At 37.5% G+C, this 27,215-nt stretch overlaps 1 protein-coding gene and 2 long non-coding RNA genes across 3 annotated transcripts in view; 2 read left to right on the top strand and 1 right to left on the bottom strand.

Moving 5' to 3' along the window:
• Window positions 1–27,215, top strand: part of ADAM7-AS1 (ADAM7, ADAMDEC1 and ADAM28 antisense RNA 1) — a 252,805-nt gene that overhangs the window by 31,346 nt on the left and 194,244 nt on the right. The gene's annotated exons all lie outside the window — the stretch shown is intronic.
• Window positions 2,405–26,961, top strand: ADAM7-AS2 (ADAM7 antisense RNA 2). Its single transcript, NR_125809.1, has 5 exons — window positions 2,405–2,487; window positions 2,609–2,698; window positions 5,330–5,602; window positions 25,113–25,413; window positions 26,767–26,961. It is a non-coding gene; the product is annotated as an ADAM7 antisense RNA 2 (long non-coding RNA).
• Window positions 7,708–27,215, bottom strand: part of ADAM7 (ADAM metallopeptidase domain 7) — a 68,540-nt gene continuing 49,032 nt past the window's right edge. The window contains exons 13-22 of the mRNA NM_003817.4: window positions 26,385–26,474; window positions 25,175–25,370; window positions 24,676–24,778; window positions 24,044–24,230; window positions 17,957–18,037; window positions 17,017–17,095; window positions 16,378–16,483; window positions 15,697–15,796; window positions 9,738–9,793; window positions 7,708–8,727 (exon numbers count right to left, since the gene is read on the bottom strand). Coding sequence (NP_003808.2) covers window position 8,727; window positions 9,738–9,793; window positions 15,697–15,796; window positions 16,378–16,483; window positions 17,017–17,095; window positions 17,957–18,037; window positions 24,044–24,230; window positions 24,676–24,778; window positions 25,175–25,370; window positions 26,385–26,474 — 999 coding nt within the window. The 3' untranslated portion in view covers window positions 7,708–8,726. The remainder of the gene's footprint in view (window positions 8,728–9,737; window positions 9,794–15,696; window positions 15,797–16,377; window positions 16,484–17,016; window positions 17,096–17,956; window positions 18,038–24,043; window positions 24,231–24,675; window positions 24,779–25,174; window positions 25,371–26,384; window positions 26,475–27,215) is intronic.

The following is a 27,215-nucleotide window of genomic DNA, read 5'->3' as shown; positions in this document are numbered from 1 at the left end:
ATTTAAGTAGAGACATGGAAGATATAAAAGATATTAAACATTTGCAGCGGACTTAGTGTTCCAAGATGGGGAAACAAGGAAGATTGTGTTGGGTAGAATAGGATAAAATTGTCATTCTGTCTTTTCAAATAAAATGACTTTCTTGCTTCAGGGGACCTTAACTTTCTTCCTTGAGAGGCCTGTATTGGGGCTTAGAGTGAAAGTCACAGAGGGGCTTATTCAGGAGAGCCATAAAGTCTTTGGGGTTTGTAGAGAATTTTTGGAATAGCCTAATAGTCTTTATCTCACCAATGAGTCTGCAGATGAGCAGGGACCATGTACTACATAAGAAGCTAGGAGAGTTGGGTCCTGTTTACACAATTATCCACATCTTGTTTATTTTCCACTAGCTGTTTAACTTCATTGGGCTTTGTTTTCAAAACCTATAAAAGGAACACGTTTCTTTTAAATCTAAAACAATATTTGATAAACCTACACTGTACTATATACCCTCTGCTCCTAGTCCAAAGTTCTAGATAGTCAACTGTTAACACAATAACTGAGTAAAATTGAATGCGTATTTTTAAGTAATTTTTTTAGGAAAACTTATCTGAGTATTTCTTAGTATACTTGTTTTTTTAGATTTTTTGGTTGATATACGTGTACATATTTTCAGGATACATTAGTAGGGTGTCTACACTTAACATTCATCAATTGTACATTTCAAAGTAGCTGGAAAAAAATAACTTGAGTGTTCCTCGCATTAAAAAAAGACAATATTTAAGATGATAGGTATCTCAGTTACCCCAATTTGATTACATAAACTTACCAGTATACTTTTATTGTTATATTAATTCACTATATTTATTTACATAAGAAAGTTAAAAATGCATCAAACTTAAGCTCCATTGTCATCTCCAATCTAACCTGCTTCTCTCTTACTTTCTTTTCTTGGTTAAGGAACCCATAAAACTTCATCTACACAAATCAGAAACATGGAAGACAGCATCAACTCTGCCCTTGACCTCATCCCTGTTCCCTTATCCAATCAAAAAAGAACTTCTTATAGCCCTCCTTTAATCTATGTTTCTACTACTCCAGTCTCTCTGAGGTTTCATATCTTCTAACTTGGACAGTACAGTAGCCTTCTTTTATCCAACCTTCAAAATCATGCAGTTCTCCCCCCTAAAACACAAATTTTACCTTGTTACTTTCATTTAAGTTATTTTACCAAGTCATTTGCCTTTAAGATATCCACACCATGCCAGGCACAGTGGCTCATGCCTGTAATCCCAGCACTTTGGGAGGCTGAGGCAGGCAGATTACTTGAGGCCAGGAGTTTGAGACTAGCCTGGCCAACATTGTGAAACTCTGTCTCTACAAAAAATTAAAAAATTACCTGGGCATGGTGGCACACGTCTGTAGTCCCAGCTACTCAGGAGGCTGAGGCAAGAGAATTACTTGAACCCAGGAGGCAGATGTTGCAGTGAGCCGAGATCATGCCCCTGCTCTTCAGCCTGGGCCATGTAGCAAGACCTTGTCTCAAACAACAACAGATAACCACAGCATAGAATATCCAATGCAGCCTGTCTTTAATGTCCTCTCATACCATGCTTTCCTATATACCTCATGATATAACTACACTAACCTACTTTCTGTGATCAGACCTACCAAACTCAGGTATGCTTAGACTCGCTGCTTCTCCCTGGAATGTTAATTCTCTGCTTGGCAAACCCTTGTACCTTTGTTAAGACCTTGATTAAAAGTTACCTCTCTGACGCCTTCTCCATTCCAACAAGCATTAGAAGCCTCCTCTTCATTCCCCTGGGCAATTTCACCTACTGCCTTCCTCTTTGGTGCCATGTATCACATTAATTTATTTTTCTAATTTTTTTCCAGAATTTCATTTTTCATGTATATGTGGCAATGTATTTTATTTTTAAACTTTTAATTTTTAATTGTTGTGGGTACAGAGTAGGTATATATATTCAGAGGATACATGAGATGTTTTGATACAGACATCACATAATTTATGACCATCCATTTAGAAGCCTGTTTTGCTTGCTCACAAAGCTTGGTTTTCTCAGGGCAGGGCTGTGTACACCTACATATCTACATGTCCCTAGAATAATACCTCTAACACAGCCAGTATGCGATGAGTACATGTTGAACAAAGACGTTAATGGATAAGTAAATAGAACCTACATGGCATCAGTCCACATTCGTTTTTTACTTTTCTAAGTTTTTTCCCCTCTGAAATCTGTAAGTGTGCTTAATCTCTGCCTCTGCTTTTTTGTTATTGTTTCTGTTTAGAGGAGTCACAGAGGGATCCTAGTGAAGAGGATTATAACTTTGCCTGTTTTGTGATGCGGAGGTGATGTCATGTTGTTCTACCATTTTATCATTGTTCCTTCTGAGCCTGAGTGTTCTTTCTCTTGAAGATTCAAGTGAACCAGGGAAGGAGAATGACATCAGACTGGGCTTGTGCCTGATAATTCATTTCTGAAGGTGCAATATTAAGTGTCACAGTGTCCAGCTGGTGATATTTTCAGCATAGAAACCTGTTAGACACGGCAGCATTAAGGAGATGGAATGAATTGATTTATTTCTCTTCTGAATTGCTTGGCAGTGCTTCAAGATTGACGCATCAGATTTGCACAATGTGCCACTTTAGGAGATTATTTCTTCCTTCCTTCAGCCAGACAGAAGACTGCAGTAGGTAATGATAGCTTAAACTTGGGAAATGTCCTTCTTCAGAGACAGCGTCACGGACATTTTGGAGAGGATCAGATTACTCTACAGCTGCTTTCCCTGGTGGACCTGAGGAGGCACACCCCTGAGCCAGGACTTTAAGGGAGAGGGTAGAACAACCTAGAAGCTCAGAAGGTCACTCCAACTATTATCTTCCCTTCTGTGACTTATTGACATACACTTTGATATCAAGGCACTGATGCTGATAACGTGAGAGAAAGGAATAGATTAATTATGGGATGAGGAGTATTTTAAATGCTAAAGGCTTTGTCTAAAATAATTCACATTTTTCCATCCAGTGGTTCCTCTCTTTGAATCCTGTTAGAATGACAGTAGATCTTTTAATTCTTTCCCCACTTTAGGCATGACTTTGAAGAACCTGAAGATGTGAAAATGAAATGGATACTGTGCTCCTTTTGGCTAGGATTGGGGAGGGCCCACTAACTGATCTCTACTACCCAGCCCCTTTCAACATCAAAGCTACTTTTTTTTTTTTTTTGAGACAAAGTCTGGCCCTGTCGCCAGGCTGGAGTGCAGTGGTGCAGTCTCAGCTCACTGCAACCTCTGCCTCCTGGATTCAAGGGATTCCCCTGCCTCAGCCTCCCGAGCAGCTGGGACTACAGGTGCATGCCACCATGCCTGGCTAATTTTTTGTATTTTAGTAGAGACGGGATTTCACTTTGTTGGCCAGGATGGTCTCAATCCAAAGCTACTTTTAGCAGGATTGAACTCTGAGGTCATCCAGTGGCCAGTTGTGATGCTGTCACTTTTAAAACTGGAATGAGTTACTGTTCGGATGGTGGCTTTGGTCTGAGGCCTGTGATTCCTGTTTTGCCATTTCTTGGCTGTGTGTTTGAGGACCTCTTAATCCCTAGCCTCCTCATTTGTAAAATAATCCTTCCCATGGACCTTGTGCATTTCATGGAAATGCAGTAGTATGGGGTCTGGAAGATTCTTTGTAGGCATTCTACCTTTCCCTATGTGTTCCAAGTGACCCTCATCTGGTGCATTCTTCATTTGATTAAAGCAAGGAAGGAAGCTTTAGCAGAGGGCTGTTATCTCTTGATTGGCCGCTGCCATCCCCTGACCCACCGTCTTCCCTTTTATGCACAGTGATGGCAGAGACAGCAACAGACAGCTTGCCCAAACACACTAAGCTGAATTAAAGCACCACCCAAGTAGAGGTCTATTCTATTAAGAAGGGATCATCCAGAAATTGAGGTCACTATAACACAAGGGAAAGATTCAAGGATCCCAAAGTGTCTGCTAGGAAGTGGCCAATGAGGGCTTCAAAGAGTGTTTAAGTTTTAGTCCATCCCCAAATACAGTTCTTCCTTGGACAAAAACATCTCAGCCATGCTCTGGCTGAATTGGGAGGTGACAGCTGCCTAGCTTTGCGCTTCCTACCTGATATGTTAACTCACGCACCATTATACTGTGGTTGGGAAGTATGGTGGATGGTAGATGGAAGACGAGAATGGGAGTGAGATATTTACACAGTTCTGAATTTTGGGGGTGAGGGCTGTGCATTCTTCCTGTCAAAGTTGTATTAATATCAGTAGCATAATAATGATTAAAAGCATACTCTTTGGAGTTAGACTTCCTGGCTTAGAATTGTGACTATACTAGTTAATCAGTTGTCTCTTTTGGCAAATTATTTGACTTTTTTCATATCAGTTTTCCAAGCTGTAAAATGAAAATAGTAATAGTATTTAACTCATTGTTTTAAGTTAAATGAAATAATACGTATGAAGTGCTTAGAATAATCTCTGACAAATAGTGTCCACTCACGAAATGCTGTTTGTTCTAGCTGCTGTAGTAGCATATCTCTCGTATCCTTGGGCAAGAGACTTTGGCTTTTGAATTTACTTATCTAAGATCCTCTAAGACAGCTCTGATACAATTTCTTCCCAGCCAGCATTCCTGCAATCCCAAAGACCCCCCCTTTTCCATATTTTTTTTTGTCCTTGGAGACTTCTAAGGTTTAAAGTTATATGTATGTTCTTTCCTTAGCAATCAATACCCATTACATATGTCTCACAATTACAACTTTTCCTGGAGACAGATGTTAATGGATTCTGTCCAGCCCACTAGACCCTCACTTCCCTATACATCAGCTCTTGAGTTTCCTAAAAGCCTGAACTTCAATTAGAAAGTGATCAGGAAGCTTCTCAAAAAGCCTAGGAATCTAATCAATATTTCTCACACAATGGTGATGATTAGTAGAGGACATCAGTTGTCATCAACAGTCCACCACAATGTCAGATAAGTAACACAGGATGCAGGCTTCTGACATTCACCATCCATTATACATCCCCTGGGAGGTGGGAGCACTTCAGGTTTCCATGGCAGCAGTCGGCCAAGCTAATTTGATGGCCTTCAAAAAAAAAAGGAACAGATAATATATAATTAAACAACAACAAAAACTAGACACCCACTCGCAGTAGTTTTAAGGACCCTGGGTTTTTTGGGGTTTATCCAAATGCCAATGTCAAGAAGATTGGGCTTCATAACTGAGAGTAAAGAAGATTTATCCTTCCAGTCTAAAATCTCCATTCAAAGCTTTCTAGCTGAGAACCCAGTTCCCCTTTCGTTTTAGGGATATGGTTCCTGTTTGCCTATTTCCATCCACAACTCTGCCAGAGACGAAAGCAGTGTTTGAAACAATTCACCAAGATTTCCATCTGGAATCATCAAGAATGGAATTGATCAAATTCCTTAAGAAATTTACTTAAAGTCATGATTTTGACAGCCTAGTGCTACCTGGAAAAGGGACAGCAGCAGCCTGGAGCAGTTTTCTAGCTAACAAGAATTTTGTTAGCTATGTGGCCACCTAGTGGCTCTTCCATGGATGTCGCTGATGCATTGTCAGGTACACAGACAATTGCCCACTAATAAAGAAGTTATTATCTTTCTTGGAATATGACTTCTTAATTTTAGCATATACGATGTGAGTTTCTGAATTCTAGAATCATCCGGCAGGACAGATACTTTGAGAAAAAGGCAGAATAGCTGTGGGGAGATGGCTGATATTTGAGAATAATTGCTGGTATATTGGGAATGCTGATGATAGGTCATCCGTCAGTGAAGGTTTTGTTTTGTGTTGTCATTGGTGTGTTCCTGGCAGAACTGATGTAAATATGTGCATTGAGATTCCTTGGCACAACAGCATTTTGATAATATCTTATAGCAAGTGTGGATTCCAATTTATTGTTTGGAGTGTTTTAAAAAGTGGCTGGGCTGGACTTAAACTGCACAATCGATTTCCCCCATCCTCTCCCTTAACTCCCTTCCTGAAGTGTACAGCCACGGACATCTCTGCTTGAAGCGTATAGCCACGGACATCTCTGCTCAGGTTTTAATTCTCACTTTTATATGTTATCTTGTTTTTCTATGGGTTGCCCTGGGGTTGGCAGGTTATAGGGGTCAGTAATTTGGACAGAGGTTTTGCTTAAACCCCGGGGGCCTGTAAAACTTCAGCCCTCAGGCCACTGATCTCTGTGTGGGTTGGGAGTGTAATCAAAGCCCATCAGCTTTCAGTCCTCTCTTGGATTTTACTCTCCGTGGTGCTCTCTCGGGTACCCACTTCTGTGCATGTCGCAGGGGTGAGTGGAGAGCTTGGCAACCCTTCCATGCTTCTCTCATTCTCAGAACACCGCCCAACTGTGACCCTAATTCCATCCCTGGCTAGTCCACTCCTCACCTCAGCTGCCTCACCTTAGCTGTGCCTCCAGTCCCAGGATAGCCAAGAAACATCTTTGTCCTATTTGTTTTCCATAGGTTTTAGCATTTTTGCTTATAAATATTTTGGATTTCTCCTCCCCAACCCAAATCCAGCCTATGGAAGGCCATTTAAAAATGTAAATACAAAATTAGATAAATGGTGTTGAAAAGGGCAGTACATATTATGGGCTCTAAAGGGCAAGATCATTTGCTTCCATATAAATCTGTGTCTGTTCAGAGCAGAGGGGCATGACCCAACTGCAAGGACAACCCCATACCCTAAAACACAGCATCTCAAAACACAACAAACTCAAGTTGAGTTTGGGCAAGTGCCAGCTATGTCCATGTATGGGGCAGGGACTCCCGATGTCCATTCCTGGGAAATCACGGCCAGTAACTGGCTCCACAGTCATGGCAGAACTGGGCTGACAAGGGGTCAACAAGTAACGAGGAGCTGTGACGTTTGATTCTGCTCTGTAGACATTGGAAGGAGAGGCTTCCTAACAGCACTTAAAAGGAATAGAAAGTCCTAAGGCCTGGGGTCTACATATGGACAAACTTGGAGAACGTGACCTAAAATTGAAAAGGGGCCTAACTGTCAGAGGCTTCTGGGGTTGTTGGAAGGAAAAGGAAGCAAATTAGAAAGCTAAAGAGATCTGAACAGGAAGCAACGAGGTGGGAGAACGGAGGGGGTACAAGACATGTTTATTATTGGAGAGAGAAGAACTTGGAAAAAATTCACCAGAAAGTAGCAGCTAGTTAAATATGGAGCCCAAGACAGAAGCAATGGGGAGAGGTGATGTTGTCTGAAAGTGATATGGAGGAAATACAAAAATAATGAATCAGAAAGGTGATCCTTTTTATAAAGGAAATACGATATCATCAAAATGTGCTTTGTTCATTCACATATGCAGTGTTCAGGAGAATATGAAGATGTGGTTGTTCCTTAATTTTGGACATCAGAGGCTTATTGTTTGCTTTAATGAGGCCAGCATATATCAGATGTGGAGTTTCTGGGTTTTTTTTTTTCCCTCAAATTTACATAAAACGTTTAAATTAGTTTCTTTGGCTTTGAGTACACATTTGTCAACACCCTTTCTTAAAGTGGCGGCTTTGATTAGAACAGCAGACGCCGAAGGAAAGCTCCTGTGGTATCCAGTGCTGAGTCACCGCTGTGCTGTGCTGCAGGCAGGCTCCGCTCCAGGAGAAAAACAAGTCAGCAGAGCAACAACAATGTCAACAAGGACAACAGCCTTTCTTCCTTCTTTTGTAGCCTTTATTTATTTCATCGAGTCAGAATATTTTTATTTAGAACTTGAAAACTTTATTTCAGTAAATGGAAAAAAAATAATGCATGTAGCTTTAACAGTTCACAAGAAGAAAATAGAGGACACAAAAGAACACCTTGAGAGGCATCTGTGTAAGAAGCAGCTGAAATCATTCCCAGGGTAATCCCCCATCCCATAACAAACGGATAGGGAGAGGGCAGAGACAGCACAGAAATGGCACATTGTCAAATTGCACAGGACAAAGACCTTAGAAACCCTTCATAGGAGTTGTGAGTATGTCCTCTCACTTGGAGTAAATTTTCTGAAATTCTTGTAACCCTCTGATTTCTCTGTCAGCTTCTTAAGGAATTCTAGAAAGGCAAACCTAGGAATTTAGAATTGCCAGGAGCATTCTGTGTTTTCCTTTCCCACCACCATTATTTTAAGGACTATCCTGCAGTTCTGTCCACTATTCTTCTGCCTCTTTCACTTTTAATTACCTAGAATCCGTGCCGCTCTGCCCTGCCTTCTTTGGCATTTCTGCAGGACTTTCATTTAAACCAGAATTAGTGCTAATGATGTCATGTTCAAGTTTTAAAACGTACTTTTATGTTTCCAAAAAAGTAACTTTTTATATGCAATGTTTTCTTCTTAGACTGTAAGTTATCATCCTTAAAGTTTGGATTCTTAAAAGAAAGCAGAGTAACATTTTGTAGGAAAATACTACAGCAAGGTTACGAATTTTTATATTGTGCTAAAGAGCATTTGAAAGACCACAAGACATTTTTTTTCTGCAGCATATGTTTATGATAGAGGGTGTGAATTCTACCGGTAAATATTAACAGAAATAAGTTGTTTCTCTTAAACATTGTCTGTCTGGATAAAGAACGTTTGAAACACTACCAAAAATGTGAGTAGCAGATATCTAGGTAAGGTTGTAAAGACGTTGCATCCAGAATCCCCAGCCTAAGCTTGCACGGCCATTTTGGATATCCAACTTCAAGCTCTAAATAGAAACAGATGGTTAAAAATAGATTGTTTCCTATGAAATCTGTGAACCATGTATTTCCATTACTCATTTATATCTACTAATTAGAATAACCTTTCTGTGTTCTGTAGTCCTACATTTATTCATGCTTTTATAGATCTCCCTAGCCATTGCTAATTAAGCAGTTATAAAATAAATAGGCCTATTATGAAAGAAAGAAAATAATTTTGTTTTCCATTATGGGATGCCAAACAGTTTGCTGGCACTAAGGAGTGTCTTCACTCTCTACTCTCTGTGGGACAGGTTTGTCATTGTGGAGTGGAAAGATCATTAGAAAATGCCCTGCTTTTCGGTGGAGGTGGGCGGTGTATCTTATTACACCTCATAAGAACGCTTTGTGGAAGGAATCTTCATACTAATCCAGTGCCTAGTGCACTGTAAAAACTCAGCAGAAATAAAGGAGGAAGAAATGAAAACAAACTCAAAATGTACTGAAGCCATGCTCATTTTCTTTCCCTTTGACATAAATCACAATTTTTGGATAAATTTTCTAATATAGACATACTAAGTCAAATGTGAAATCAACCCTTCCATTTATTGATTTGATAAGTGAAAAATCTAAAAAAGGAATCATGAAGGAAACTGTTCCTTTTCTGTGATTCCCAACATTACGAAGTCTTTTAACATACTTGAAGAAAACCTGTGGGTATGTATACTCTGACCAACAAAAGTCTGAAAGAATAGTGCTGCTTTCGTTATTCCTAACCTGTATTGAGACTGTGGCACTGTTGAATTCTGGATTGCTCCTTTGGTCCGGTTAGAAAGTTTTGATTAAAACATCCTTAGCAGAATTATATATTAGAACTTTAAGCATATCAGCAAAAAAAAAAAAAAATTCTAACCTTCCTAATCTGTTGTGATAAGTACAGAGGATGTCCCCAGTAAATCAATGAGTTGGTAAAGAACACAAAACTATGCCAGCATTTGAAAAATAAAAAAGGGAGGTACTATCTGTCAGGGTAACCTACCACTTGGCACTTTGATTGGGATCTGCGATTCCTCTTGAATCTTTACTTGCAGGTTTCTATAATAAATAAATTATGTTGTATCATGTGCCACATCAGATGTTACACGCATGGGCATCCACACACAGACATGCATGTGCACACATACACATGAGCACATACACACGCAGGCCACCTCTGCTTGCTCCATGAAAAATCCAAGACAGTTTGTAAATTGCTTAAGACAGTTTGTAAATTCCTATGGGATTGAGGGAGAGGAGGATAGATGGTGTTGGTTAAGCAAAGTTGTATCAGAAACCATTATTGGTTGTAAAATCTGTGAATCTTCCCTAGAATATATTAGGTAAGAGATTTTCAAACACTTTTAAAGTATTAGCACTTTCATTCCGATAACATCTCTGTTGGAATCTCAGTAAAATTGATTTTAAACATGGACTGCCCGGGTTCAAGGAAGAATTCATTCATACAACTCCCCCAGCTGTCTGCCACTTTCTGTAATCCTTTTGTGTGATCTGAGGATTCTCTGCAACCACAGATTAGAAACTAATCAACTAATCACAGCGTTTTAGTCGTCCATAAAGAAAGCTTAATGAGAATGGCTGCTTTTAAAAATACAAAGTTGAAAATCTGTGTGTATTCAGCGCCCAGTTCTGAGTAAGAGGTGCTCTACTGAGTAACCTTGAGGATGTAGAGATAGAGATTCTAGTCATTTGGGCAATTCCTAGAAATCCTGTAGTGGTTCTATTTTGTGTGTGTGTGTGTGTGTGTGTGTGTGTGTGTGTGTGCTTTGACTCAGTCTCTAATGCATGTGTGTGCTAATATGTGCTAATATTTTGTTTCTCCCTTATAAATAAAGATGCAGGGATTACACAGCTTCATCTAACTGAGGGTTCCAGGGGAGAGCCCTCTGGCTGATCAAGGACTCACTGAAAACCATTGCTGTGTTTTACCTTTTAGAACAGGGGCCAGGACTAGAGTGAGGTGAGTGAAGCATTGGTCTCAGGGGCAGAATTTAAGGGGAGAAAACTAATTCAGTAATTAAGATAAATTTTGTGCTAATGTGTTAGTTTAAAATATCAAAATTAATTTGCAAGAAAATGCATGTATCATGGTGAACAAAATGCCAACATTTTAAACAAAAACTTGGGTCTGCCCTAGGACTTGCCTGGCTCACTTCACTCTCCTCACCCTAACCCCCACCCTGTTAAGAAGTAGGTCTCTATGCCAGAGTGTCAGAGTGTCCCATTTCTACCTCCGATCAGAGAGCTATCGATGTTATATTATTGGTCCTTTTCAAGGAACCAACAAATGATTAAGTTTCATGAAAATTATTATTGGAAAGGACATAGCCCACCACCAAGAGGAAGGGGAGGGGAACGTACCAGTGTGATGTAGTGGGGACTTGAAAAACTAGTGGGCAGGCTTTCCAAGGATTCTGGAGTTCTCTGCTAGTAAGAAGAGATACTATTAACCTGCAATTCCTAGTAAATATACCAATACTGAAAGACCCAGACATAATATTCTTGTGTAGATTGTTATCCTACAACATATGAGTCTATCTCAGGGCCTGTCTATAAGACAAATTTACATATGAGAAGAGTGGGAATTTATACATTGTGATATGAATATGATGAGGCAGGTCTGCTAGCCACCAAATCTTACTATCGCTAATTGACTGTATGCCTGAAATTCCCTAACCAGCCACATTCCTTTGGGCCTTGAATGTCTTTGAGAAACTCCACAATTTCCTATTAAAATACAAAAATTCCTAAATTAAGTTTCCCTCTTTAAAGTGCATTCTGTTAACTCCCCAGTAAATATTAATACAACTAGAAAGCATGGTCCAATGGAAGCAGGATCTGTGAGAGGACCTGGATGCCAGAGCAGGGAGAGAAAAAACAAACAAACAAAAAACAAACATCATTAACGTAATAGGTAAAAGACGCCAAAGACGGACCTCCCCCAAACCCCAGGTTTGCTGAGGACTGGTCTTTGATGGATAACTGTGTCAAATAAGCATCAGTTAAATCATTATTGTTTATAATACTTCATGCCAAAAAATACAAAAACCCTAAATGTGATGTTTGAGGATCCAACTCTCCTATCTCTGTTAATATCATGGTGTATATACCATCAACAGTAAATTGAATTTATTCACATATTCAACAGATATTTATTCATCTTCTCTTCTAGGTGCCCCTCATTTAACCAAAAAACCAAAAGCCCTTAAAGGAAGCTTAGGATCTATAATCATAACAAATATGTCCTACGCTCTATGGTTATTCATCATTGAGCAGTACTCAGCCTACCTTTCCTGACTCATCTCTCTGGAAGTCCACCTATTTTAACGTATTAATTTAAGGAAAATGTAATTAGGAAAGTAACTGCAACAGCACATGAGGCATCGTAGATTAAAATAACACATATTAAGTGCTAAGTGTATACCAATCACTGTGCTAAGTATATTTACATACAATTTCTCATTTAAACCTCAAGACAAATGAATGAGAATTACATTAGCATCATGCGGTTTCTTTCCTGAAAATCTCAGTGTAAACTTAAAAAAAATCACACGTTGTTATTTTGTCCATTCTAATGGACAATTAAGACTTGGTTTTACCTTCTTGGAATCACATCTGGCATAATAAAGAGTATAAATGGATAAAAATGATAACTAACATATATAACCAGAGAAAGATTCACTATCTCTATATGCCAGTGAAATTCATCAGAGGCATTTCCACTAAAATGTCATATATGTGTTCTGGGGGATAGAGTGGGGGTATGCTCTGCAATATTGTGCAGTAAAAATCACAAGGCTTATGGCATGCCTAAAGCCGTGGCAAAGCATTCGAAACCTCTGGAACTACGTAACCAGACCACCCCACCAACCAAAAATATCCTGATTTTAAAATACTGGCAATATAATATTTTTATTGGCACTTGCATCTAGCAAGAGTCAGTTAATTATTAGCCTTAAAATTTGGGCCTTTCGATCCCTTCTTCATGACTTAAATCCTAATGGGCAGTTTCATCATTTTAAAGAGATAATCTTTTCAAAAATGATGCTTTCTTCATCAGCTATTTTTTTTTTTAAAGCTAATGCCTTTGTAGTTTCTTGATCTTTCCTTACAGGTTTTGTCTTGATTGTTGTTGATATTGTTGTTTTTTGAGACAGGGTATCACTATGTAGCCCAGGTTGGAATGCAGTGGCATGATCATAGCTCACTGCAGTCTGGATCTCCTGGGCTCCAGAGGTTCTTGGTGCCTCAGTCTCCCGTGTAGCTAGGGACTACAGGTGTGCACCATTATGTTTGGCTGTTTTTCTTTTTTTATATAGACAAAGGCTTGACATATTACTCAGCCTGGTCTAGAACTCCTGGCCTCAAATTACCCTCTTGCCTTGGCCTCTCAAAGTGCTAGAATTGTAGCTGTGAGCCACTGTGCCTGGCCACTCAGTTTTTTTATTTTATTTATTTTATTTTATTTTATTTTATTTTATTTTATTTTATTTTTGTACTTGAAGTTCAGGGATACATGTGTAGAACGTGCAGGTTTATTACATAGGTATACACGTGGCATGGTGGTTTGCTGCACCCATCAACTTGTCACCTACATTAGGTATTTCTCCTAATGCTATCCCTCCCCTTGTTCCCCATCCCCCGACAGGCCTCAGTGTGTGATGTTTTCCTCACTGGGTCCATGTGTTCTCATTGCTCAACTCCCACTTATGAGTGAGAACATGCGGTGTTTGGTTTTCTGTTCTTGTGATAGTTTGCTGCAAATGATGGTTTCCAGCTTCATCCATGTCCCTGCAAAGGACATGAACTCATCCTTTTTTATGGCTGCATAGTATTCCATGGTATATATATGCCACATTTTCTTTATCCAGTCTATCATTGATGGACATTTGGGGTGGTTCCAAGTCTTTGCTATTGTGAATAGTGCTGCGGTAAACGTACGTGTGCATGTGTCTTTATAGTAGAATGATTTACAATCCTTTGGGTATATACCCAGTAATGGGATTGCTGGGTCAAATGGTATTTCTAGTTCTAGATCCTTGAGAAATTGCCACACTGTCTTCCACAATGGTTGAACTAATTTACACTCCCTCCAACAATGTAAAAGTGTTCCTATTTCTCTCCATTCTCTCTAGCATCTGTTGTTACCTGACTTTTTAATGATCACCATTCTAACAGTTTTTTAAGTGAGCTGAATGTATTGGAAATTATCGCTGTTGCTACAATTATTGAACAAGCTGTGATTTGCAGGGACTTCTGCAGGATTTTCAACATTTTTCTTAGATCTTCATATATTGCTTACATTCCTAGTTTACTGAATTTTCTCAGGAATAGACATAATTTTTTCAAATAATTTATCTGCCTCTATTGATATGATCATATGATTTTACACTTTCACTGATAATACAGTAAGTTAGCCTCATTGCTTTTTTGAATGTTAAAGTTTCTTTGCATTATTGCAGTAATACTTGATCATGATTCATTATCCTCTATATATGATCATGATGCATTATCATTCATCATGAGATTCAGTTGGCTAACATCTAATAATAATTCATGCACCTATATTTGTTAGTGTATTAGTTAGTAGTGCTTTTTCTTCTTGTAATGACTTTTATAGGTAGGCATCAGAGAAATATTGGCCTCATAAAATAAATTGGGAATTTTCCCCCTCTTTCCAATTATCTGGAAAGTTTATGTAGAATTAGTGTTATGCATTCATGAATTTTTAAATAGAATTCACCAGTAGAGCCATATGGGTCAAATATTTTTTTGTTTGTGGAAAGGTTTTTACTACAAATTTAACTTGAGCTATTCAGGTTATCTGTTTTTCATGAGTAAGCTTTAGTAATGTTTATCTTTCAAAAATTTCCATTTCATTGCACTGTCAAAACTATTAAAATAAGGTTTTTCATAATATTTTCTAATTATCAACTTAATATTTATAGTATCTTCATTGATGTTGCCTTTCTGATTCTTGATGTTAATAATATGTACTAACTAGTTAGACTGGCTGGAGGCTTATAAAATTTATTAATCTTCTCAAAATACATTTTCTCTGTTATTTTTCTGTTTTCTATTTCATTAGTGATCAATCTGATATTTACTTTTTCTTTTTTTCTGCATATATTGGGCTTCATTTTCTTTATTTTCTCTAGTTTCTTAAAGTAAAAGCTGAGGTCATTGATCTTTTATTTTTCTTCTTTTCAAACAGAAGCAGATAAGCGCTATACATTTTCCTCTACTGATTTTACTACACCTGCATGTTTTGGCACGTGGTATTTAATTTTCATTCAGGTTAAAACACTTTCTAATTTCCCTTTTGATTATTCCTTTGAAAGTTGAGTTCCTTAGAATTCATTATCTAATTTTCAACTGAGAATTTTTCTAATTAGTGATATCTTTCCATTACTTACTTCTATTGTAATTTAATTCTGAGAATATATTTTGTGTGGCTACAATTCTTTTCTTTCTTGTTTTTTAGTCTTTATATTTTTAGTGGAGAGGGAGTTTCCCATGTTGGCCAGGCTCATCTCAAATTCAGGTGATCTGCCTGTCTCGGCCTCCAGAAGTGTGAGGATTACAGACGTGAGCCACTGCGCCCAGCTCAGTTCTTTTAAGTTTGTTAAAACTTGCTTTATGGCCCATCATGTGGTTTATGCTTGTAAATTTTTCCAATAGTGCACAAATTAGTATGTTATTAAACCAATATATTCTGCTCTGATATAGTATCTTGGTTATTGTTCCATATCTGTTTTGAATCCTGCCCTCTTTCCTTTCCCTACATGTAGATTCAAAGCTTCATGTGTGTGGAACCATGTTAAATTGCTCCTCTGCACTTCCCATGTCACTTAGCTTAGGACGGGTTCTACTTTAAACACATTCAGCTACTTAAAAAAAAAAAATCAATAAATTAACTGTTGCAAATGGAAGTTTCTTACATTTAGGAAATGAATTTCTGGCAGGATTGGCTCAGTCCTTATCTGCTGCTCATCACCAAAGTATCCTTTGTTCTCCACTCCCAGGGTTTCTGTAGGTGGGCTGTCAAGAAGGAAATTGAACAACTAATTTATTAGATATAGGGCTATTCAGGTTATTTATTTCTTCATGAGTAAGCTTTAGTAATTTTTATATTTCAAAAATTTCCATTTCATTACAATGTTAAATATATTGAAATAATGCTTTTTTATATTGTCTAATTATCAACTTAATACTTGTACAATCTTCAGTGATGTCACCTGATTCTTGATGTGGGAAGAATCAGAAATTATGGGATAAACAAACTATGGGATACATTTATGGCTAAAATTAAATCATCTACAAGATTTTTAAAATACTAATGCTCAAGTCATACCCAATAACAATTAAATCACAATGTCTTCAACCCACATCAGTATTTTTTGAAAGACCTGTTGGTGATTTCAATGTGCACAAGTTTGGGAATCATTGATATTAGCATCTGGATATGAGCAAGTACATAAAAGCTTGAGTTACTACTATTCTTACCTGATCTTCAGTAAGAAGCTTATACTTCCCCCCATTGAATATCCTCTATAACCACAAAGCTTACATATTCTCAGTAACAATTCCCTTCTTCAACACATAGAAAAATGTAAATGTACCTCTGAACTTGCTTCAACTTGATACATTTTCGGTAACGAACTAATAGTATAAGAACTCCGATACCGACAATAACCAGGACAAGCACAACAACCAAGATGGTGATATCTGCAACATGAAGAAACATGGGCTTCATCGAGGGTATCAGTTGTAAAACAGTGGAATATTAACATTTAATGGAGCTGTTACAATGCTCCTTATTCCTTTCTATAGAACTTCAATTCTCCTTTCCTCTCAATTATTTTTATGTAAAGTAAAAAGCCCAAACATTATACAAATTATCATTTGTATTTGCAACTGACACTCCACCCAATATTCCGTTATATTTAAGGGAACCACAATCATCAGGAAGAGTTTTGATTGTCAGTTAATAACTATAGAAAAGCCCTTGTGTGTTGAGGGTTTGTGGGATACCTAAGAAAATTTAATTTAGCTAGAAGAGACTACATTGGCTGTAAAAGGGAATTGCTGTAAAAGGTAATTGCAGTAAAATCAATTTGGGTATTCATGCACAATAATATGAAGACCATACAAATCCATATCAAAACACAGCAAATAAGTAGCAGACTTGAAAAATAAGAAAAACTTTTTTCGCTGGGTAGGCTTTTGATATATGAAAGATTTTGTTTTAGGATGCTCACTGGTAACATGTAAGGTTTCTTCACAGGCTACAGGTGCCTGTCCTTCCTCACAGTGGCACTGGAGTCCGTGGCCATCCACCTGGAAGAGCAGTCAATGATATATTCTCAAATGACTGATATAAGTTGTGTTCTGCAACTCACTTACTTTAGTGCTACCTCTACATCAAACATACATGCACACAAGCACAAGCGCGAACTTTTTATTCGTTTATTAAACTGTGTAACAAAATCAATGATGTATAAAAATAAGTAAACAAAATACAAGAAGCAGCCATCTTTGAAAACGGCCTGTGAATAAGAGAATGATACTGACAAATTCAAAGGCAGATGAACAAGACAGCATGATTTATCTTTCCAGGTAAATATATGATATATATGATAAATATGGTAACCTGATATGTATGTGTGTGTGTGTGTGTGATGTGTGATGTGTGTGTGTGTGTGTGTGTGTGTGTGTGTATTACTATATAAGTGTTACTGATTAACCCAGCTTATGAGCGATGTTAGGCACTAACTGTTAGTAATTGTTGGTATTAGTGTTAATATATTATTTTGTAAAAAATATACAATGTTTGCTGATTTTCTCAAAAGCTTAACTTGACATTGGTGTAATTTAACTATAAGATATGTTGCAATAGATTCAACTTTAAACATCAGATTTAAACTTTATACATACATGAATCACTGAATTTCTAGATAACCAGTACAATAATGAAAGCATTACTTGTAATACTGGCTGTATCTGTGTATAATAATATGTGATTTTGCTCCTTGGATAAATTTTGTTGATAACACATGAAAAAATGAATCCCAAATATATATTTGATTTAGAAAGCAGCAAAAATACATATATACATACATATACATGCACATATAGGCTGGGGAATAAAGTAAATATATGGCTGATAAGACATTAATTTTGAAAGCAGTCATATCTTACAGGATTTTCATTGCACTGAGAGGGGCAATTGGTTGAGATATAGACCTTTTCCATGTTTAGACATTCACCATTGTTGCACACCTAGAAATGAAGTAACCAAGCATGAATTAAAATGACTTACAATTGATGTGAAATTGTAATTTCATGTAATGCATGTGAAGTGCACAATTTTGCATGTAATTTACATATGAAAAATTTCAATTTACATGATTTAATTATAAGTTATGTAATTTTTCCTACTGTAAAATTCCACATGTAGTATTTTCTGTGGATAGAGAAATCCTCTATAGATGATTGGGGTGTGTACTATACATGCAAAGAAATATTTTAAACTCATTAGTTATTAAAATGTTTATGTTCTGAGTAATTACTTCAGCGTTAATCTGTCAAAGATTCTACAACTGTAATTGCAACAGTTTCTTTTGTTTCAATGAAGTTTTTCTTTTGGTTTAGCAATGTATGTTTATTATACCACAATTGATGGTCATTTTATTAATATCAATTAATCTTATTTGTGTTTAATATTTTTGCTTTAAATTTTCCTTTCTCTTGGTAAATTTGATCACTAAAATATTATTGGTTTTGTTATTTTTGGTCTTTGCGTGATTCATCCTTACTCATCTATTTAATTTTTAAATGTTATTTTACATTTTATTTATAATTAAACATTCATTTATTGCCACCAGTTCAAAGATTATATTTACATTTTCTGTAGGGAGAACTTAATACATCTATATTTATTGGAATAAGTGATATATATATATATACTCTTAGTCCTTTCATTTTATTTACCTGATTTCCAACATTAGACATTGTGGCTTACCTTTTACTATATTTATCACTTTTATTCAGCTATTGTTTTCTCTAATTTGAAAGCTATATATGCTAATTTCTAAAGATTAATTTGATTTACATTAATATATTTGAATCTAAATAATTCTATCATTTTCAAGAAAAAATCAACATTAACTCCTCCTTTTGCAAGATAAGAAATTTATCATGTTTTTACTTCTTTCCTCTTTCTCTCAATTCAAGTTTTTGATTGAGTAAATCAGATACTACATTGTCAAAATTATTTATTATTCCTGAGATTTTTTACATCATTGTAATAAAAATATTATAATTAATAACTAGAATTTACTCAAAAGTCTTATGGAGTTTGTTGCTTGCAATCATTTCTTTAATATCCTATCTCCTTATTTTACCTTCTAAATTTAAATTTATTTCTCTCTTGGCTGGAATACGTTCTTGACTATTTTTCTTTTCAAAAAATAGGTGCAGTCTATATATTACAATATATTTTATTAGTTATAATATGTGTGAGAGTATCATTGCATTGCTTTTCTGTCTGAATAAAAACTTGGCTGTAAATATAGTTTTAGGGTCCCAACAATTATGTTCCCCAAACCTCTGTAGATGTTGCTCCATTGTCTTCTGGATACTTGTTGCAGAGAAGTATTATGGTAACCTGATATTTCTTTCTGTAGCAAATTAATGACCTTTTCTCTTTTGTGCTTATGGCATGTATTCTTTATTTTTGACATTCAAGGCATGAGGGTAAGTAAAAGCCTTCATCTCTTTCTATAAATTTTTCCTGGTACTAAGTGAATTTTTTCATACATTCTTCAGATTAGGGACATATTGTGATTATTTCATTAACTATATTTTCACCTCTCTTCTGTGTTTTTAATTTAGACTTCATATTAAATCTGTAATGAATTTTTTAGAACTCTATTTCCTGGTTTTATTTATTTTCTTTGAGTTTTAACATTCCTTTATGTTATTGTGTTAAGAAGTTTAGCTTCTAACTTACTGATTTTTTTTGTAATATCCAATTCAGTGGTTTACTGGCCACATTACATATAAACCAGTAATCATGGTTTGTACTTTGAAGGCAATGCTCTTTGATCTCAAATTATACTTTTTTATATAGGTTTAATATGTTTTAAAATTTCATTCAAAAAATTTTTCTTGATAAAGGAGGAAATCTTTCAACATTGTATTAGTTCGTTTTCATGCTGCTGATAAAGACATACATGAGACTGGGCAATTTACAAAAGAAAGAGGTTTAATTGAACTTACAGTTCCACGTGGCTGGGGAAGTCTCACAATCTTGGCAGAAAGCAAGGAGGAGCAAGTCACATCTTACATGGATGGCAGCAGGCAAAGAGAGAGCTTGTGCAGGAAAATCCCCCCTTATAATAACCATCAGATCTCATGAGACTTACTCAGTATCAGGAGAACAGCATGGGAAGGACCTGCTCTCATGATTCACTTACCTCCCAGTGGGTCCCTCCCACAAATGTGGGAATTCAAGATGAGATTTGGGTGGAGACACAGCCAAACCACATCATTCCGTCCCTGGCCCCTCCCAAATCTCATGTCCTCACATTTTAAAACCAATCATGCCTTCCCAACAGTCCCCCAGAGTCTTAACTCATTTCAGCATTAACTCAAAAGTCCACAGTCCAAAGTCTCATTCAGTACAAGGCAAGTCCCTTCCACCTAAAATCCTGTAAAATCAAAAAGCAAGTTACTTACTTTCTGGACACAATGGGGGTACAGGCATTGGATAAATACAGCCATTCCAAATGGGAGAAATTGGCCAGAACAAAGGGGCTAATAGGCCCCATGTAAGTCTGAATCCAGCAGGGCAGTCAAATCTTAAAGCTCCAAAATGATCTCCTTTGATTCCATGTCTCACATCCAGATCACACTGATGCAAGAGGTGGGTTCCCATAGTCTTGAGCAGCTCTGCCTCTGTGGTTTTGCAGGATATAGCCTCCCTTCTGGCTGCTTCCATGGGCTGACATTGAGTGTTTGCAGCTTTTCCAGGTGCACAGTGCAAGCTGTGGGTGGATCTACCATTCCAGGGTCTGGAGGACATTGGCCCTCTTCTTACAGCTCCACTAGGCAATGCCTCAGCAAGGACTCTGTGTGGGGGATCCGACCCTACATTTCTCATCTACACTGCCCTAGCAGAGATTCTCCATGAGGGCCCCGCCCCTGCAGCAAACTTTTACCTGGGCATCCAGGCATTTCCATACATCTTCTGAAATCTACGCTGAGGTTCCCAAACCTCAATTCTTGACTTCTGTGCACCTGCAGTCTCAGCACCACATGAAGGCTGCCAAGGCCTGGGGCTTCCACCCTCTGAAGCAACAGCCCAAGCTGTACCTTGGAGCCTTTTAGTCCCAGCTGGAGTGGCTGGGACTCAGGGCACCAAGTCCCTAAACTGCACACAGCACGGGGACCCTGGGCCTGGCCCACTAAACCATTTTCTCCTAGGCCTATGGGCCTGTGATAGGAGGGGCTGCTATGAAGACCTGTGACATGCTCTGGAGACATTTTCCCCATTGTCTTTGGGATTAACATTTGGCATCTCATTACTTATGCAGACATCCGCAGCCAGCTTCAATTTCTCCTCAGAAAATGGGTTTTTCTTTTCTATCACATTGTCAGGCTGCAAATTTTTTGAACTTTTATGCTCTGCTTCCCTTATAAAACTGAATGCATTTAACAGCACCCAAGTCACCTATTGAATGCTTTGCTGCTTAGAAATTTCTTCCACCAGATACCCTAAATCATCTCTCTTCAGTTCACAGTTCCACAAATCTCTAGAGCAGGGGCAAAATGCTACCAGTCTCTTTGCTAAAACATAACAAGAGTCATCTTTGCTCCTGTTTCACCTTACATTCACCTTTACTTGAAATGGCAACTGAGATTGAATAATTTTTATTTTTTTCTTTACATTCATTGATTCTTTCTTCTGTTCCCTCCATTCTTCTGTTGAACTCATTCACTGAATATTTTTATTCCAGTATTGTAATTTTTCCGTTCTAAAATTTCCATTTGGCTCTTATATTTTATACGTCTTTTCTGGAAGTTTGTTATTTTGCTGAGACCTTCTATTTTTTTCATTTATTTCAAGCGTGTGCATAATTGTTCACTGAAGCATTTTTGTAAAGGCTGCTTTAAATTCCTTGTCAGGTAATTCAACATATGTGTCACCTTGTTGTTGCATCTAGAGATTGTCTTTTGTCATTTCAATTGAGATTTCCCTGGTTCTTTGTTTGAAGAGTGGCTCATTTGTATTCTGGATACTCTGGGGACTATGAGCTATAGGATCTTATTCAAATCTGTTGTTTTAGCAGATCTTCTCTAAAACCATTCCTGTTATGGAAGAGAATCACTGCTTCACTCACGCCAGCTGGGGTGGAAACCCAGCCTCCTCACATACTTTCATGACACTGGGGTTGGAAGAATTCATCACCACTGAGCTGTGGTGAATGTCCTGACTCCCCATAAGCCTCCACTGAAACCCTGTCTGGAGCCAGGGCATCTGTTAGAGCTGGAAGAAAATGGAAGTCTAGGCTTCCCACTTGATCCTTGCTGATGCAGGAGGAGTCAGACCATAGAATTTTTCCCTGCTGTTTGGTTGGAGTGGGGCAATTATTACCAAAATGTTTTCCATCTCGTTAGCCTACTCCTTTTCTTGTCCTTTGGTTTTAGAGAAGCCCTGCTAAAACAACAGATTTGAATAAGGTCCCACATAGCTCATAGTCTAAAAATAGCATATCAATGCCAAAAAGAGATTTTTTTTTCACTCACATCATTGTGATACCTACATAGACTGGCATTAACTATGCATGAATTTCCTCATTAGAATTTGGCTGAAGAACTGGCACCACTGTGATGGATGTACTTCTGCCCTAAGCCTTCTCTTGAAGGAATAAGCTCTCTATGCGGAGTACGTGGTCACAGTGTACTTGGGAGATGGAGATGGATTCCTTCACAACTGCCTTTCTAACAGCCCCTTTCTTCAGTCCTTGCCACTCTTAAAGAAGGAAGCACTTTGTATCTCAGGCTGGTTTTTCGTATCTGAGGTGAATAGCAAATCTTTTGGTATTTTCTTCAACCTCAGGCTTCACACTTAGTCTTGTTGAATACCTTTGAATTTTTTAGCTTGTGGTTAGCATACATACCTTAATTTTCACAAACATAGCTTTCTTAGCATGTTGATATTCATTTAATGATTTTAACAGGAAGTAGGATAGTTAAATATATAGACTCAAAATGTAAGTCGCTATTAAATATTTAGTTCTAGTTCTTTTTTTTACATTCTGAACTTTGGTTTTCCAATGTATTTCTCTATCACACTGTACAAATGTCACTGTAATATTTTTGGTGATAGTGTAGAGAGAGAAGGGAAGACATATCACATAGAGAACCTATTCAGTTTCAAATAGCTGATTTTAGGGGTAAAATATCATGTGTTTTCCATATATTCTTTATGAGCCAGCTATTGTTTAGAGTATGCATTCTAATGTTGTCATCTTGCCATAAAAAACTCTTTCCAATTTGGACCCATTCTGTCTTCTCTTCAATTTCATCTTTTGCCATTTAACCCAAAGGTCAAGCCACTCTGAAATTGCTGGTCATCTGAATTATGCCATACACTTTGTACCTTTACATATTGTGCAGGCATTTTTTGCTAAAATGTCTTCTCCCATTTCCTGTGTGTTAAAATGTTCAAGTCAAAGCTGAAATGTTACTCATTTAAGATGCCATTTCATCTTCTCTGAGCAAAGTCAGCCACTTTTCCTTTAGACATCAATATACATTGGTCACACCACTAAGAAAGCAATTTTTTGAACTGTAATCATGTAATTTTTACTGTATGAAATTCTCATGTATGCTTACCTTTAGTGTACAGTCAGTGGCACCATAGTATATGGCTAGTAAATATGAGTGAATGAATAAAATAAATGAAGATGTAAGGCTACTTTATACTCACATTAATTAGAAAAATCCATGTCTATAATCCATGTCTAATTAGATATCTGCTGTAAGTTTTACTAATTAAGCACATCTGTAACAATTATGGGTCATTTGGCATGACTAAAATTAGGCAAAATGGATGTTTATTACAGTGTTATTGCTACTCTGCTCCTCATTAAAAAAATACTTGTCAATATTTTTTCCTTTTCCATATCTAGACCTCTTTGGAAGCAATTACAGTATCCAGTAATGTTTTTAAAGGATTGAACTAAGAAGTTTTAATAAAACAAAGGGCTTTTGTCTTACCATTCCCTCTCCACATTTTGTTCCTGACGCCACCAGGCCAATGTCTGTAGAATCATGGTATAAAAAAATAGTTTTGCATTTGACAGTAGCATTCTTCTGGGGATCCTTAAGGTGATAAGTCTTGTCTTCTCCAAGGAGAGAGGAAAGCTCCCCTCCAGTGCAGTAGATCTTTCCACATCTGACATCTCTGAAGGAAAGGCAGAATATTCAAACTTGGAACTAGAAATACAACTTTTGAGACTAGGCTGGCAATGGAGCCTCCCGGTCACTCTTTTTCTAGATCCAGGTTTCTTGCCAAGTTAAGGAGGCTGTAATGGGCAGAGAAAACCACTGAGCAAAGTCTTGGCCCTGGGAACTGAGATGAGTCCGTAAAAAATGTAAAATGATCATATTTCCTTTGGATTTCCCTGTGAACCTCACAAGTCAATACTGGCTTAAGTTTACAGGGGAATATTTTTTTATTAGTAATTTGAATTAGCATAATTTTAATCAGGACACCAAGATTTCCTTCTTATTTCCCTCTTCTCCCGGTCTCAGTAAAAAGAGATTAACAGGTCTGGGGACAGGAGCCATTCTGATTTTGACAAAGTGCTGTAAGAAGGCAAATTACTTTTTTTCCACAGGGCACTTACTTCTCCTCACAGGGAAGAAATCTGTTTTCCTTGTTTTTGCAGTATCCAAATTTATTTCCTTTTGTATTCATCTTGTAGCAGATATCATGACTCTCTATTGCCTCTGGGGTAAAAAATGGTATAAAAGTAAAACAATAAAGCATGACTATCATGAATCATAAAAGACCTTATTTTTCTAATGTAATTAAACTTTCAGAATCATGTCATAGTGAAGTAGAATGGAATAAATTATTTAAAAACTATCCTATTGCCTCAGGAGAATATTTTAGGCTGGAGATATAAAACAGTAACAAATATACATAGCTCATATACTGAGATAGTTAATATTAGACGTAAGATCAACTAATATGACAGGTAATATCCAGAGAAATGCTAAGCAATATCTTGGAATAATGCCACAAATGACATTATATCTGATCTTGACCCAATTCCTACAGGGCAATAACAGAGAAATAGAGGCCACCATCTGTGTGAATACTTCACTGTGATTATCTCTCACCATCATCAAATAGTTCAGAGCACTGATCCTCACGAGTTGGACATTTCCCCATGAAACAGTAGCCTTCTGAGTTCTTGCAAGGAAATCCATTGACCCTGAACTGGTCCTTAGGACAGGCAGGCGAGTGGCCAGTGCACATCTCAGGAAAATCACATTCATCTTTCGCCGGTCTGCATATGGACCCTGCTTTTTTTATCTGTTGAGGAAAAACAAAGAGACTAAATCCTGGATACATTTAGGTAGGTAAGGTTTCGTAAGTAGACAGAAAGTTGACCCATTCATCCAAAAAAGGTTTTAAGGATGGATCATAGCTTCCTTCTCCATTCCATCAAGAATCATTGTCATTTGTCAATGTGTTGGCACTCATGTAATTTTAAGAATGACAAAATGATGTTTTTGAAGTTTGGTATTACAGCAGCCTTAGGGAGAGTTGGGATGTACATCAAATGAAGAAACGGGCAGGTGTTCTCATTTATCTTGTCTTTTCTTTGTCCCAAGGGATCCAGTACATACCCTGCCTACCCCCTACCCACCTCGAATTGGGAACCCCTGCTTATAATGAGGAAATCTCCAGTCCCAATAAATCAGATTCCTGCATATGAACTGGAGAAAAATACCCTTGCTTTCACTGCTAGAGGGAACTGCATAGAGATATTCTCTCATTCAGCCATTCAATAAGAATTTAATTACGCTGGGTTCTGGATGAATTTGAAGATGCATAAGATATGTTTGTTTTCTTTGTGAATTCACAATAAAGTTGAGTGAAAGAAGTGTCAGTAAACTCTTGGACAGAGCCATTGGGGTTTCTGGTTGTCTTCCTCGGGAACGTTTCTCCACTTACTAGCCACTGCCACTTTCCAATGCTAATATAACCCCTTTCCCTTTTAGCTCTCCCTTGGGATTTCAACTATCCTCCTAGATGAGGTTAAACAGATTGGTGATTATTTACAAAGGAGCAAGAATAGAGCTGGTCATGTGACTTCCCTCCTAAACCTCCAATTGCTACTTGATGTTTCTCCACTACCCCAGGCCATAGCACAGCCCAATGCTCAGATGTTGGAGCATCTCACAAGAATCTCTGTTGGGTACTTGCAAGCCTAGCTTCATTTTGGAGTCAGTGGTGCAGGGCTGTCCAGTGGTTAGATAACTCTTGGATCCTACATATTCTTAAACTGAAAAAAAAAAACCTTCTCCTGGCACATGACCTTACCTGACAAGATTCACAGCATTCTCCTTCTGCACAAGTAAATCCTGGCTTCAGTACACATGTGTGTGCATCACAGCAAGGATTAGTACACTCCTGGCAATAACCACAAAAGAGAGATGAGAAATTGGTATGTACTCTGACTCCTGTTTGAAGAATTAATTAGTTGTGCTTCTGTGGATTCTGATAGAGTTAAATAGTGATGCATGATTGTTGGCTGTGGTACATACATAAAGATTACTGTTTAGAACGGGTATTTGGGACTTTAACTATTTCTCCTTCTCTCGTGCTGTTTGGTACATTACGGGTAATGGATTCTCATTGACAGAATTAGAGAGTCCAACATTTATAATCTTCAGTTATCCTAATTATCTCCATTTCCTTGAAGGGTCATACTGCTTCCCTGTACTGAAGTGTGATGTGAGACTATTCAACTGCTGAAGATCTGATTTTACCTTTTGCTCAAGCTGTCCATTATTTCAGGCTGACTTTTATTTTTTAATGTATCATTAAATAACATCAAAATGGTAACTTATGCCCTATTTTCTCAAACAAAATAAAAACTCAAAGAAAATGGAGTGTGGCCGGATAAGGTACCTCATGTGTTAGAATGAATCTATGGAACCATTCCAAAGAATGCATATGGACAGGAGGATCATTTTCCAAAATTAAGAGCCTCTTTGCGTTTAACCTGAGACATTTGAAGACATTCTTATAACCTTTGGACAGGTTACTGTCCCCAGTCTGATTATGGAGTCTCTAACTGCTGTCCTACTAGACCTCCTGGTATTGTGCATTATCTAGACTGTAGATACTAAAATTGTGGTCCTCGGGCCA

Source organism: Homo sapiens, chromosome 8 (genome assembly GCF_000001405.40).
Source record: "Homo sapiens chromosome 8, GRCh38.p14 Primary Assembly".
In the NCBI taxonomy this organism is placed as follows: domain Eukaryota; kingdom Metazoa; phylum Chordata; class Mammalia; order Primates; family Hominidae; genus Homo; species Homo sapiens.
The sequence above is the reverse complement of the archived record's forward strand: the minus strand, read 5'-3'. Positions and strand labels throughout refer to the sequence as shown.